This window comes from Homo sapiens, chromosome 16, assembly GCF_000001405.40.
Source record: "Homo sapiens chromosome 16, GRCh38.p14 Primary Assembly".
NCBI classification, from domain to species: domain Eukaryota; kingdom Metazoa; phylum Chordata; class Mammalia; order Primates; family Hominidae; genus Homo; species Homo sapiens.
Genome location: NC_000016.10, coordinates 7,990,922 through 8,007,045, shown reverse-complemented (window position 1 = coordinate 8,007,045; position 16,124 = coordinate 7,990,922). Strand labels below are relative to the sequence as shown.

Here is a 16,124-nt window from a genome sequence, read left to right as displayed (position 1 = left end):
TCTTCCTGGAGGCAGTGAGGTGGGGGTCCTTAATTAAGTGCTCAGAAACAAAATTTAAGGTCATATTTTGGATGAGACCTAATGGAAGACCGAGCGCTAGGTGTGTGAAGATCTGGGGAAATTCATTCTATGCAGAGGAAGCAGCCTGTGGGGAAAACCTAGGATCTGATAAGAGCCTGCCTTTATGAATTAATTTAAGGCAGATGTGGCTGAAACTTAGGGAGTAGGGAAGCAGGTCAGTGGGGTGCAGTTGGCGGTGCAAGTCAGGGTCAGAACATTCAGGGTCTCACAAACCAAGGAAAGACAGGGGCTTCATCTAAGCACAAGAGATGAGGCTATTCAAGCGTGGAATGGTCTCACCTGATTCACATTTCACCAGGGAAGCTCTTGCTGGGGGAGACAAGAATCCCGAAAAGGAGAATGGTAGCAGGAAGGCAAGTCAGGATGCAGCTGCAAATCATCCAAATGAGAGATCGTTTGTTGCTTGGAGTGGGGTGTTGAGAGTGTGGTTCCGATAAGTTGCTAGATTTGAGATATTTTATACATAGAACATCCAGAGCTTGCTAACCTATTTGGTGCCAAACATTTAAAAACCGGGAAAGAATCAAAGGTGAATTCTAGAATTCTGCCTTGAGAACTAGGTTGATGATGGTGCGTGAAAAACAGTGTTGCCTCCTTCTGAGCAGGGAAAAACACGGAGTGAGAGGAAGTGGGAGCAGAGGCCGAGGTGCTGTGGGGACCTGTTAGCATGGGGTTCCTAGTTCTTTCTCCCTGACCATATTAAAGTAATGGGGTGGGGATAGGTAACCTCACCTTTAGATGTGAGAGCCTTCTCTTTAAAGTCTTTCCTAATTAGAACCAAAGTTGCAGCTAAAATCATCTCATGCATATACTTCTGAAACCCTATTTTTTGTTGTTTTTTGGTTTATTTTGCCTTTGTTTTTGTTTGTTCTCCTTAAAGACTTCACATTTTTAACTAGGGTAGTTTTAAGAGCAATACTCTTTGTAAATACTCAAGAGAACACACATGTCACCGCTGGCATAACATTTCTTTCAGATCAACATATCATTTTCCCCTGACATAGAAGGTATTAAAGTCCTGCTTAGCCCACCAGAGGCTCTAAAATATATTACACACAGGCATAGGAGAGGCACATGAAGAATTCATTTGTCTCATCCCTTTCTTAAAAGGGTGATCAGAGACACATAAAGGCTTCATGAAAAATGAATGCAGGAAAAAGCTTCCAAATGGGGAGAAAACCTTGCAATGACTAGGTCAAAGGGGAGCCAAAGAAAATGGCTCTAGAGAGAGGAAGCAACTCGCAGCTTGTCATTATCCAGAGAAACCAGCTGCGTTTCTGCACACGTGCATGCGAGGGTCAGCCAGAAAGCCAGATGCTGCTTTGGGGAAACAGAGGCCGAGTGCTTGTCATCCGATGATGGTCTTGGCTGGCCAGGTAACAGATGAGCAAGAAAAAATAATTTTTTTTCACTCAATGATATTTCCACTTACCCATATTATTTGCCACTTTCAACTTGCACACACAGACAAACACACACACACACGGCACACCTAAGGCCTTGTGAGGAAGATAAGCCATGGAGAAAAATGAGGGAGAGTAAACAGAAGAGGCCCTGTTACATTTCCTTTGCCATGAAACCTCTTTGTTTGCAGCATGTCCACAAATCACAACATGCATTGAGGATGGAGTCCTTTTTAGAGAAGCTAATTATAAAAACATGGTCTGGCATGAAAATGGGGAGATGGTTCCAAACCATTCCAAAGTAGGATGCCAGGTTCCTCGTAGCTTTCAATGTGTATATTAAAATTGCCAAAGCCCTTCCGCTCACTGTTTCTGTACTCCGGATGTTCCTTGCTGCAGAGAAGAGTGATTTTTGGAGAGCAGAAATAAAAGATGGGGTTGGGAGAGGGGAGAAAGAAAGTTTAAAACTCTTCTAAATTAGAATTTGCTTCAAACTGAGTCAAAAGGTTTCTTTCTTTATCTCATTTTATTTTAATATCCAATAAAATAGCACCTATATATGTAGACAGAAAGGATTCTGGGTGACCAACAGCAATCTCTCTCTTTTATTGATTCTCTCAAAAAATTTTATTTGGTTGCCATAATCTGCAGGGCTTTTTTTTAACCGTGTTTTCACCCTCTTCATGCTGTTATTTACAATTACACCTGGCCTACCAAAATGTGGGTGCCATTTGTGATTTTATTTATTTATTCATGATTTTAAATGGACATGTAAGATTATATATATTTGCGGCATCCAGAAGGATGGTTTGATCTATGTATACATTGTGGAATGGCTGACTCAAGCTACTTAACTCAGTGCATGACTTCACATACTTCTCCATTTTTTTGTGATGAGACCACTTAAAATCTACTTTCTTAGCAATTTTTAAGTATATTATTAACTATAGTCCCCATGATACAATAGCTCTCCTAAACTTGTTCAACTGAAATTTTGTGTTCTCTTACCAACGACTCTGTAAACACACCCCCATCTCTGCTCCCAGCTTCTAGCAGCCACCATTCTATTCTCTGCTTCTAGGAGTTTAACTTTTTAAGGTTCTACATGTAAGTGAGATCACGTAGCGTTTATCTTTCTGTGCCTGGCTTATTTCCCTTAACATAATGTCTTCTACATTTATCTGTGTTGTCACAAATAACAGGATTGCTTTCTTTTTTAAGGCTGAATAATATTCTATGAGTATATATGACACGTTTTATTTATCCATTCATCCATTGATGGACACTTAGGTGGATTCCATACCTTGGCTATTGTGAATAGTGCTGCAATAAACATGGGAGAGCAGATCTCCCTTCGATAGGCTGATTCCATTTCCTTTAGATATATACTGAATCGTAGGATTGCTGGCTTACATGGTAGTTCCATTTTTAATTTTTTGAAGAACCTCCATACTGTTCTCCACTGTGGCAGTACTAATTTAGATTCTCATTAACAGGGTGCAGGGGTTCTTTTTTCTCTGTGCCCTCACCACCCACTTGTTGTCTTTTGTCTTTTTGATAATAGCCATTCTAACAGGTGTGACGTGATATCTCATTGCGGTTTTGATTTGCAGTTCCCTGATAATTAGTGATGTTCAGCATTTTTAAATATATATGTTGGCTATTTGTATGTCTTTTTTTGAGAAATATCTATTTAGGTCCTTTGCCCATTTTTAAATCAGATTGTTTTTTTTACTATTGAGTTGTTTGAATTATTTGTTTATTTTGGATATTTACCCTCTATTAAATGTATGTTTTGCACATATAGTCTCCCATTCTGGAGGTTATCTCTTCTCTCAGTTTTAATAAATCTGTTGTTGTTTTTTTCTTTTTGAGACAGAATCTTGCTTTGTCACCCAAGCTGTAGTGCAGTGGTGTGATCTCAGCTCACTGCAACCTCCACCTCCCATGTTCAAGCAATTCTCCTGCTTCAGCCTCCCGAGTAGCTGGGATTACAAGCATGCACCACCATGCCCAGTTAATTTTTGTATTTTTAGTAGACATGGGGTTTTGCCATGTTGGCCAGGCTGGCCTTGAGCTCCTGGCTTCAAGTGGTCTGCCCACCTCAGCCTCTCAAAGTGCTGGGATTACAGGTGTGAGCCACGTACCCAGTCAATTTTATTTTTTTACTTTAAGTTCCGGGATACATGTGCAGAAGGTGCAGGTTTGTTACATAGATAAACGTGTGCCATGGTGGTTTGCTGCACCTATTAACCCATTGTCTAGGTTCCCTCCCCTCACCCCCCAGCCTGCAACAGGCCCTGGTGTGTGTTGTTCCCCTCCCTGTGTCTATGTGTTCTCATTGTTCTATTCCCACCTATGAGTGAGAACTTGCTGTATTTGGTTTTTCTGTGCCTGTGTTAGTTTGCTGAGGATGATGGCTTCCAGCTTCATCCATGTCCCTGCAAAGGACATGATTTCATTCCTTTTTATGGCTACGTAGTACTCCATAGTGTATATGTGCCACATTTTCTTTATCTAGTCTATAATTGATGGGCATTTTGGTTGGTTCCATGTCCCTGCTACTGTAAATAATGCTGCAATAAACATACGTGTGCATGTGTCTCTATAGTAGAATGATTTATATTCCTTTGGGTGTCTACCCAGTAATGGGATTGCTGGGTCAAATAGTATTTCTGATTCTAGATTTTTGAAGAATCTATAGTGGTCGAACTAATTTACATTCCTACCAACAGTGTAAAAGCATTCCTGTTTCTCCACAGCCTCTCCAGCATCTATTGTTTCTTCACTTTTTAATAATCGCCATTCTGACTGGCATGAGATGGTATCTCATTGTGGTATTGACTTGCATTTCTCTAATGATCAGTGATGTTGAGCTTTTTTCATATGTTGGTTGGAAGCATAAATGCCTTCTTTTGAGAAGTGTATGTTCATATCCTTTGCCCACTTATGATGGGGTTGTTTGTTTCTTTCTTGTAAATTTGTTTAAGTTCCTTGTAGATTCTGGATATTCAACCATTGTCAGATGGGTAGATTGCAAAAATTTTCTTTCACTCTGTAGATTGCTTATTCACTCTGATGATTGTTTCTTTTGCTGTGCAGAAGCTCTTTAGTTTAACTAGATCCACTTGTCAATTTTGCTTTTGTTGGAATTACCTTTGACATTTTTGTCATAAAATCTTTGCCCATGCCTATGTCCTGAATGGTATTGTCTAGGTTTTCTTCTATGGTTTTATTGTTTTGGGTTTTACATTTAAGTTTTTAATCCATCTTGAGTTAATTTTTGTATAATGTGTAAGGAAGGGGTCTAGTTTCAGTTTTCTGCATATGGCTAGCCAGTTTTCCCAGCACCGCTTATTATATAGGGAACCATTTCCCCGTTGCTTGTTTTTGTCAGGTTTGCCAAAGATCAGATGGTCATAGATGTGTGGTGTTATTTCTGAGGTCTCTGTTCTGTTCCATTGGTTTTTATATTTATATGTATGTTTTGGTACCAGTACCATGCTGTTTTGGTTACTGTAGCCTTGTAATATAGTTTGAAGTCAGGTAGTGTGATGCCTCCATGATTATCTCAATTGGTGCAGAAAAGGCCTTCAATAAAATTCAACATCCCTTCTGTTTAAAACTATCAATAAACTAGGTATTGATGGAACATAGATCAAAATAATAAGAGCTATTTATGACAAACCCATAGCCAATACCATACTCAATGGGCAAAAGCTGGAAGCATTTCCTTTGAAAACCGGCACAAGAAGAGGATGCACTCTCTCACCACTCCTATTCAACATAGTATTGGAAGTTCTGGCCAGGGCAATCAGGCAAGAGAAATAAAGCATATTCAAACGGGAAGAGAGGAAGTCAAACTGCCTCTGTTTGCAGACAACATGATTCTATATTTAGAAAACCCATTGTCTCAGCCCCAAAACTCCTTAAGCTGATAAACAACTTCAGCAAAGTCTCAGAATATAAAATCAGTTTGCAAAAATCACGAGCATTCCTATACACCAACAATAGACAAGCAGAGAGCCAAATCATGAGTGAACTCCCATTCACGATTGGTACAAAGAGAATAAAATACCTAGGAATGCAGACAACAAGGGATGTGAAGGGCCTTTTCAGGGAGAACTACAAACCACTGCTTAGGGACACAAACAAATAGAAAAACATTCCATCCTCATGGATGGGAAGAATCAGTATCATGAAAATGGCCATACTGCCCAAAGTAATTTATAGATTCAATGCTATTTTCATCAAACCACCACTGAAATTCTTCACAGAAATAGAAAAAACTACTTTAAATTCCATATGGAAACAAAAAAGAGCCCGTATAGCCAAGAAAATCCTAACCAGTCAGTTTTAATAAATCTTACCACTATTTTAATCTACCTGCATTGTAATCTAACCAGGACAACGAAGGAATGTTGGCCAAGTATTTTAACTCCATCACTTCCTGTCTCAGCTCTGTGAAAAAGTAACCTAATATTAGGCATTTAATGTGTTTGTTGGTTTAGGCCAGTACTGTCAATAAAACTTTCAGTGATGGTGGAAATATTTTTATATCTGCATTGACCAATATGGTATTCCCTAACCACATGTGGCTTTTGAGCCTTTGAAACAAGGCTAGTATGATTGAGACACTGAAGTTTTCATTTTACATTTTAATTAATGTAAATTTAGACAGTCTCTTGTGGCTTGTGTACACTGTATAGGACAGTGCAGATTTAGAACCTTGAAAAATAAATCAAGGACTCCAATGCCCACTTTTCATATTGAAAAGGGCTCTGAACCCTGAAGAACAATTTTGTCAATTGATCTGTATATTCAACTCAGACAAGTCTTTGAAGGCCTCTGGGCCTTGGTTTTCTCTTGTGTAAGGTGGGTACAAGAGACCCTTCTCTCCCTGCCTCATGTCGTTATTGTATGGCTAAAAGCAGTGGAGGAAGATGGAAGAGTTTAACTAAATGTGGTACTTCATACAACTGTAAAGTTTAGAGAGAAAGGTCACCCTCAGTGAAATGAACCTTCCTCATCTTAGTCTTTATTTTAGCTTTTGGAAGGTCTTTAAATGCCACACACAGAATTTACACTTTTAAAATTAGTTTACTAGCTTGTTTTTACATGAATCCCATTTTACAAATGTGGAGAATGAAGCACGGAGACATTAAGTAATTGAGTGATTCCCAAAATCACTCAGGGAGGGATGGGGCTAGTATTTAAATGGAGACAGTTGAAACCTAAATCCTTATCTCTGTAATGACCCCCTAAAGCCCATTCTGACTCATTGGTAGCTGTTTCAGCACCCATTCCTGCATTCTTACCATGCTTCCTTGCTGTAGTTTTTGTCTTTTCCCCCCCAGACAGTTTTGCTCTTGTTCCCCAAGCTGGAGTGTGATGGTGGGAGCTCGACTCACTGCAACCTCGCCTCTTGGGTTCAAGCAATTCTCCTGCCTCAGCCTCCCAAATAGCTGCGGTTACAGGCGCCTGCCACCATGCTCAGCTAATTTTGTATTTTTAGTAGAGATGGAGTTTCACCATGCTGGAGAGGTTGGTCTCGAACTCCTGACCGCAAGTGTTCCACTTGCCTTGGCCTTCCAAAGTGCTGGGATTACAGGCGTGAGCCACTGCGCCCAGCCCCCTACCATCCTTCCTAAAGATCTGGACCTGAGGTTTAGTTTGGTTGGCCTTAAGCCAATCAGCACATCTCCTATCCCTGGTCACATGACAGGTGGGCATATGGTGCATTTCAGGCCAATGAGACTAAGGCGTTTACTGGAGACTTCAGGTGGAGATATTTCCTCTCTTGCTTATTGTAAACTGGGAAACTCATAACCTGGTTATTGATGTCAATCATTCTGGAATCAACAATGTACCCTAGGTAAGAAAGGAACCAAGACCAAGGAAGGTAAAGTGAAGAGATGTAAAAAATCCCTTGATCCTTGGTGATACTAGTGATCTGCTTGATATAGCCTTACTTGTATTCCACTCCATGGTTGGACTTTTCAGTTCTGTGGAATTATGCTTTTAAAACAGTATAATTTTTTTGTTTTGCTATTGCAGTTGCAGTTGCTGTTATAACAACTGCAGCGGTGGAAAGCCGTCTAAAGTAATACAGTCATGTCTTGTGCAAACTCAAAATTTCACAACCCAGAATATAATGTCCATCATTTGAAAGTCAAAGTTTAATACTAACACAAAGTGTTGCTTCTAGTTCAGAGACACGATTCTCTGCTCTGCGTATGGAATGAGGTCTCCATAACAAGGGATAACAGATTAGCTCTGCAGCGAGCAATGGCAGTACATTAAAAGAATATTAAGGTTGTGACAGGAAACGATATCAGTAAAAGCAATTCCTCGGGAAGGGAGAGGCACCATATGTGCAGCCAACATTGCGATGCAAGAACAGGAGGAGGGGGGTAGAATTAGGAAGGTCATTAAAGAGACTCCCCGTGGTGCCCAGGAGTTAGAAGACATATGGCGCCTTTGCCCCGAGTTGGGAGGTTTCATTTCTCTTTGCTTCCATCTTCTTGTTCATCTTTGGAAGGAAACAGGAAGAAGAGCTGAACAAGAGTCAGTGATGTGCGTCCTTATCTTAAGGTGACTCAGTGGGGAAGCAGGAGGTGAGGTTTAGTGGAAGAGCACTAGGTTGTCAGTTCTAAGGCCTGGGTTCTATGCATTATTAACTCCGTGATTTTGGGTAAAGCACTTGAATTTCTGAACTCCAGTTGCTTCATTTGAAAAATAGAAGGACAATATTTCAGCCCTAGTGAAACACTACCCCACCCTCAAAAAGTCATGCATTCTCTTGCCTCTGGGATTTCAATCCTGTACTCTCTCTGTTTGTGTACTCTTCCCCACTACCCCTCTTTAACTGCTATTTTCAGCTCTAGTGTCACCTGCTGTATGAAGCCTTCTGACCTGGATTGAATATCTCCCCTTCTACTTATCACACAATAGTGATTGCCTGTTTCTCCTCAATAGAAGTTAAAAGTATACACAAATATCCACTTTCCACCCTGCATACATCGTAAACATTAAGCTTTTTGAGGTCAGGGACCATGTTTATACATCATTGTGTTTCCGGGGCTAATTAAATGCAGGTATGGCATCAGATGGGGGCTCAAATGAAGGCATCAACATAAACTAGGCCTCCTAAGCTGTTCAGGGCTCTCTTGGTGCCTTTGTCAATTCTCTATCCCATTCCCTGTATGTAACTTAAAAGATCCTCCCCTTCCCAGGATACTTGCTCTTTGACATTGCCCTTGACCTTCAAAAGAGGGCTTTGGATCCTTCGGTGCATTTGAAGGTGAAAATTTATTACTTGTCTTTTCTTTTTTTTTCGTGGAGGTGGGGGCAAGATCTCACTCTGTCACCCAAGTTGGAGTGCAGTGTTGCAATCATGACTCACTACGGCATCAGCCTCCAGGGCTCAAACAGTCCTTCCATCTCAGCCTTCCAAATACCTGGGACTACAGGCATGCACCACTACACTCAGCCACATTTTCAACTGAGAAAAGTAAAACAGATTTGGAGCAAGATATTGGATATATGGCGAGGAAAACTGTAGTGGAAAATGGAAGAGGGGAGTAGAGAGAAGAAGACCACCTATGTGGCAGTGTTAAATATATTTGCTTATCCAATCAAGAAACACGTTCCAGTGGTCACAGGAATTTCACTCATCAGTTAGATGTCTTCTTCCATGCAGTAGAATGAGGACATTATAGAAGTTTCCCCATAGAAACTTTGAGGAAAGGAGTTTACCTTCCAATCCTGGTTCACAGAGGAAATAGAATGTCTGGACTTACGTGAGTCTTTTCTCTCCCTTTCCTTTTTTTCTCTTGTAGAAATGGAAAAGAAAAAACTCTTCTGCCTGGGGCTGCTTCCTTCTTACACAGTCTCCTGGAAATTCTACTCTTTCCACCTTCCACTCTGTACTAGTTTCCATGCATCAGCTTTTTAAAGGCTGCACACAAAAGCTTTCATTTGCCACTCCTAATAACTAGGACAGCCCTTTCACCCTACCTTCGTAATCAAAGACATACACCTGGTTCTCGGTTGAAGAGGCACTGAAGCATAAATTAGAAAGAGAAAGGAATGCATGTTTCCCCAAACATGTACTCTCGGAGGTCATATTAGTCTCTTGCTTCCCTGCTCTTTTGTGACAAGCAATGTTAGGATAGCAGTGGATGATCCCAAACTTCCTTTGCTCCCTAACATCCAACCAACCACCTCTGCTTCTTTCTTTCAATAATTCTATCATGTTCTTGGACTGGCCAAATACAAATGGCCATTTTAAGTGATAGCTTTCCAGGTAAGAAAAAGTTACAAATTGCCCAATCCAAATGAATATTTGCATTGCCAGGATTATGGTTATAGTTATGTGTGTCAACTCATTGTCAGAACATCAGCCTCTAGACTCCCTCTCTCAGCCACATGAAAGGGCTTAGGTGATAAACTCAATCACAGCCATGTGGCAAAAACCAAAGGAGTTCAATTCAGCATATAATAGTCTCAATCCCATATGAGCTAAAATCCATCTGTGTTGGTCAATATATTATGTCTGCCATAACAGATATGCTTTGGGTTAAGAGTAGTAAAATAGTAATAAATCCTTGTTTTGAGGACAAGACACTTTTTGTTTTTAGCCTCTTTTTTTGGCAAACATGTAAGAGAAAAAGAGGACCCAAGGATAGGTAGTTTGTCAAGTAACGAGATTTGAACCTAGTCTAATAACAGGTAGTCTGTGGATGTGGGCAAGATCCTTCTTATTGGTGCAGATGGTAGGTAGGACACTCACAAGATACAATGAAACTGGGTCACCCAAGCCTTCTAGTATTTTTGAAGATTCCGTTGCCATACATGGCTGGGAGTATCTTGAGTGCAAAGCAAGTCTGTCAGTTTTGTGATACACTTGCTATGATTTTCAACTTTGTTGTCTGCACATTTACAGATGAGTTACAAGACAGATAACTATGCCAGCAAATGGTAAAACATCCATAGTGAAGTGCAACACGGCCAAAGGCTGACATAATATATTTCCATTTTGAGTTTATCTTTCCCCAAATTTCTTAAAGTGCATTAACTGCCAAAAGTTCTCCCTTCACAAATGCGAATATGATTAAAATGGTGATTGCATCTAAAAAAAAGTCATGCTACATGGCAAAATAGTTTGATGTTCATCTTGCTGCTTTCAGCGGCAATTTCACGAGGGTGCAGAATGCATCAGAAGCTTTAATCCAGGGAGAGATATCAATGAGTCTGGAGCCCAATCAAGAATTTGAAAAAGGATCTCCAAAGTTATCCATTAGTTGAAGATAGAGCTACTGAGGAAGTGGCTGTATGAGGCACAGAGAAACACAGGTTTAGAGAAATGGGACAGTACTTGTGTATGGACCAAAGATCTCTTTGGATTTCCCTCCAATACCTCCTCCCCCAGCACCCTCAGTCTCATTTAAGATGAGAAAACTGATATCTCAAGAGGTGAAGTGATATGCTTAAGGTTTAACAGCAAGATAAGTTCTCTCTCAGGGGAAAGACAAATATTTGTCTTTTGAGCAGAAGTTGTAGATGTTCTGCCCATATTCCCTCATCTTTAATGCCTCTGCAAAAGCTGGTCAGACTTCCACCCACCAGCACCTGCACTTCATTACCCACGGGAGCTTTCTTTAGCTACCAGTGTCGGTGTTGAGCACTCTGTGGCAGGCTGGAAGACCTGAGAATTAACATCATTCACAAGCATCCCTCAAACAATGGTAGAGCGGAGTTGGTGTATAAATACCCCATTGTCCTCACCCCTCAGATGGGGTAACATGGAGGTGCATGTTCTACTTTGGCTGCCAGAGAGTCTCCAGGGAGGTTAACTAAGCCGCAGTCTTTCACCAGGATAACTGACATGACAACACACCCTTTATTGTGTCACTTATTTTGCCTGTCTTACTTCCCCACCCACTGTCTCATATTTTCTTTAACTCTTAATTAAACTCTACTTGTACTTGAATTGTTTTTCCTGGGTCTGCTTCTGGTAGATGTGAAATGCAGACAGTCCTATCTACTTCACACTCTGTGGAGTCATCTATTATCTGTGCTTACTTAAAAAAAAAAAAAAAAAGTCGGCCAGGCGCGATGGCTCACGCCTGTAATCGCAGAACTTTGACTTTGAGAGGCCGAAGCAGGTGGATTGCCTGAGGTCGGGAGTTCAAGACCATCCTGACCAACATGGGGAAATCCCATCTCTACTAAAAATACAAAATTAGCCAGACATGGTGGTGCATGCCTGTAATCCCAGCTACTTGGAAGGCTGAGGCAGGAGAATCGTTTGAACCCGGGAGGCGGAGGTTGCAGTCAGCTGAGATGGCGCCATTGCACTCCAGCCTGGGCAACAAGAGCAAAACTCCGTCAAAAAAAGTCACAATTGCTACTTCATGTCTCTCTTCCTCGAAACACAGACCTAGAATTGGATCCCCAGATGTATGGGAAATGGGGAACGTCTGGATGTTTCTGCTAAGGTTTCTTCTGAATAGAAGGACAAGAGTCTGGTAGGATAAAATCCTGCATTTCACCACTGATTAGGGGTCTGAACAGTATAAGGGGAACGGGAAGAACACTGGGTTTGGGGCTCTGTCTCCCTACTTCCTTTAGGTGAGTCTCTTTAAACAGGGACTGATTCTATGATAATGCCAAATATGTACTAGAGGAAGACTAATGGAGACATATGTTACATAATTTTTAAGAATTCTACTTGGGGATAGTTTTTTCTTGCATGAGGAGAGGATTTTGAAGGTTCTCAGAGAATAAAGTCCTTCCATGATTTTCTTTTTTTTTTTTTTTTTTTGAGACGGAGTCTCGCTCTGTCACCCCAGCTGGAGTGCAGTGGCATGATCTCTGCTCACTGCGACCTCCACCCACCAGGTTCAAGCCATTCTCCTGCCTCAGCCTCCCGAGTAGCTGGGACTACAGGCGTGTGCCACCATGCCCAGCTAATTTTTTGTATTTTTAATAGAGACGGGATTTCACTGTGTTAGCCAGGATGATCTTGATCTCCTGACCTCGTGATACACCCGCCTTGGCCTCCCACAGTGCTGGGATTACAGGCATGAGCTACCGCCCCTGGCCTATGATATTCTTTAGAAGCCATATGGGCCATAGACAATCTATAAAAGTATGTTTTTATTTTGTCTGTTTTAACTTTTATTTTAGGTTCGGGGTACACGTGCAGGTTTATTACATAGGTAAATCTGGGAATTGGGGGTTTGTTGTATAGATCATTTCTATACAACACCCAGTTACTAAGCTGAGTACTCATTAGTTATTTTTCCTGCTCATCTCCCTCTTTCTACCCTCCACCCTCCGACAGGCCCCAGAGTGTGCTGTTCTCTTCTATGTGTCCATGTGTTCTGATCATTTAGCTCCCACTTTTAAGTGTGACCATGTGGCATTTCTTTTTCTGTTTTGTGTTAGTTTGCTAAGGATAATGGCCTCCAGCTCTATCCATGTCCCGGCAAAGGACAGGATGTTGTTTGTTCTTTTTTGATGGCTTCATAGTGTTCCATGGTGTATATGTACCAATTTTCTTTATTCAGTCTACTGCAAAGGGCATGAACAGACACTTTTCAAAAGAAGGTATATATACAGCCAACAAGCATATGAAAAAAAGAAGCTCATGATAGGTGGATCATGAGAAAAATGTAAATCAAAACCACAGTGAGGTCGGGCATGGTGGCTCACGCCTGTAATCCCAGCAGTTTGGGAGGCCGAGGTGGGTGGACCACCTGAGGTCAGGAGTTTGAGACCAGCCTGGCCAACATGGTGAAACCCCGTCTCTACTAAAAATGCGCAAAGTAGCAGGGCTTGCTGGCGCATGCCTGTAATACCAGCTACTTGGGAGGCTGAGGCAGGAGAAGTGCTTGAACCCGGGAGGCAGAGGTTGCAGTGAGCTGAGATCGCACCACTGCACTGAAGCCTGGGCAACAGAGCAAGACTCCGTCTCAGAACAGAAACACACACACACACACACACACACACACAGAATGAGATACCATCTCACACCAGTCAGAATGGCTATTACTAAAAAGTCAAGAAATAACAGATGGCTGGCAAGATTGCAGAGAAAAAGGAACGCTTAGACACTGTTGGTGGGGGTGTAAATTAGTTCAATAATTGTGGAAAGAAGTGTGGCAATTCCTCAAAGAGCTGTAAAAGTATTTTTAATCTACTTTGTCTTAAAACAGAATCCAGGGGTTAACCCCAGAATGGAACATATTTATCTTTGTGAAACCATTCTATAATCAAGCTAACTGAGTAGTCTTTTATGTTTGGTTGTTTTTCTTCAGAAGGAATATGGGCAATCATTATTAGTTTCATAGAATTTAGAGTTCAAGGAATTATCCTAGATTTCTTGTTAGATTTGCACTCTTAAGTGATACTCCTGATGGGTCACGTAGATTTGGGCCTTCTATGAAGTGAGATTAAAGTTTGGGGATGCAAGCACTGGAAATTGAGATTACAGAATAAAAACATTCTGTTTCGTGTGAAGACACAATTTAATGCAATGCCTAATTCATCTTACCTGCTCAAGACTTGTTCACTATTTTTCTTATTTTCACCCAAGCACTTAAAAGAAACAGCATTAACCGCAAATCCAGTGACATTGTCAATAAACACTGGAATCCACACTGCCTTCAGGAAGTGCTTACTGGAAGGGTGATACATTCTGAAAACCAGGGAGGGCGGTTTGTGCACAGAGGCTGCACATATGCTTTCTTGCTCATGTTTTGAGTGGTGTTCCAGAAAGTCACCCTTGAGAGGGCTTTAATTCAAGGCTATCACTCTATCCTTGTTTGGTTTTGTATCTTGGAATTCAACAATGGCACTCAGCTAACATGAAAAAAACCTGATACCGATTTTATGTAAATATTTTTAGAGGCTAAAGAAATCCACCCCTGAAAAAAGGAGGACAGGGGGAAGTTTAAACAAAAATACTAAATTCAACGTCATACAAATCATATCCAGTGACTCAGGCCAATATATGAGTTAATGAAGGGTTTTTTCCCTTTCTGTCTCCCTCTCTTTCTTTCTCTTTATCTCTGTCTTCCCGTCTCTGCTCCTCCTGCCTTCTCTCCCTTCCTTCCTCCTTCTCTTTCTCTCCATGTTTCTCTCCTTCTTTCCATTTCCATTCTCTCTATATCTGACTCTGCCTTTCTGTGTTCTTTATTTCTCTCTCTCATCTCCTAAATTAAATGATCTTCATTATCACTGAAATTACAGTAAACTTTTATATGAAAGAGCTTGATTCTTACAATCTTGTTAGTTTGAAAACCAGGCAAAGGCCGGGCACGGTGGCTCACGCCTGTAATCCCAGCACTTTGGGAAGCCGAGGCGGGCAGATCACTTGAGGTCAGGAGTTCGAGACCAGCCTGGCCAACATGGTGAAACTCTGTCTCTGTTAAAAATACAAAAATTAGCCAGGTGTAGTGACACGCGCCTGTAATCCCAGCTACTTGGGAGGCTGAGGCAGGAGAAGAGAATTGCTTGAGCCCAGCAGGCAGAGGTTATGGTGAGCCGAGCTAACGCCACTGCACTCAAGCTTGAGTGACAGAGTGAGACTTGGAAAAGAAAAACACAAAAAAGAAAGAAAGATAAACAAGAAAACCAGGCAAGATTTCAACCAGCTAGTATAAAAAGCTATCTTTGCAGGATACAAGTTGTTCTATAATTTTCAGAGTTTTGAGGAATTGGATACCTGTTTTTTAAACAGCCATCTTTCCTTAACAGGAAGATCTCAAGATACCAAGAAATTTTAAAACTCCCTGGTTTATTTTCACATTTAGTTTGGAATCTCTCCAGTGACAGCTTCTCCAAAGCATTAAAACTTCTTCTTGAATACTTGTTCTTGCAGAGAACTCATTTCTCTAAAAACCTCAACGATATCTACAAAGGGCCCTGGCCCCTCTTAGCATATCCTTCTATAGCTTGACCATGTTGGTTTTATTTTCTAAGCGGAATATTGAGAATCAAAGTAACACCCAAATTGGTAAGTCTAAGAATAAACTTCTAGAAGGGGGAAAATGGACAAATAAAAAGAAGAAATCCAAATGGCTAATAAGCATATATCAAAGAGGTCAGTCTCATTAAGGAAGGAATATACACTAAACAAAAACAATTAAAAATGAGCAAAAGATCTGAATAGACATTTCTCAAAAGAAGACATACAAAGGGCCAACAGGTATAGGATAAAACTCTTAACACCACGAATCATCAGAGAAATGCTAATCAAAACCACAGTGAGATATGCTCTCATCCCCGTCAAAATGCTGTTTATGAAGTACATAGGCAATAACAGATGCTGACGAGGCTGCAGAGAAAAAGGAACCCTTGTACACTATTGGTGGGAATGCGAATCATTAGCGCCTCGATAAAAACCAGCACAGAGTTTCTCAAAAAACTAAAAATAGAACTGCCGCATGAATCAGCAATTCCACCACTGGGCACACACTCAAAAGAAAGGAAATCAGTATATCGAAGAGATATCCGCATGCCCATGTGTTTTGCAGCATTGTTCACAATAGCCAAGATTTGGAAGCCACCTAAGTGTCCATCAACAGATGAATGGATAAAGAAAACCTGGTACAGACACAATAGACTATT

At 41.0% G+C, this 16,124-nt stretch overlaps 1 long non-coding RNA gene across 1 annotated transcript in view; it reads left to right on the top strand.

The window, feature by feature from the left end:
- LOC105371069 (uncharacterized) overlaps window positions 1-16,124 on the top strand; it is a 236,274-nt gene that overhangs the window by 105,711 nt on the left and 114,439 nt on the right. The gene's annotated exons all lie outside the window — the stretch shown is intronic.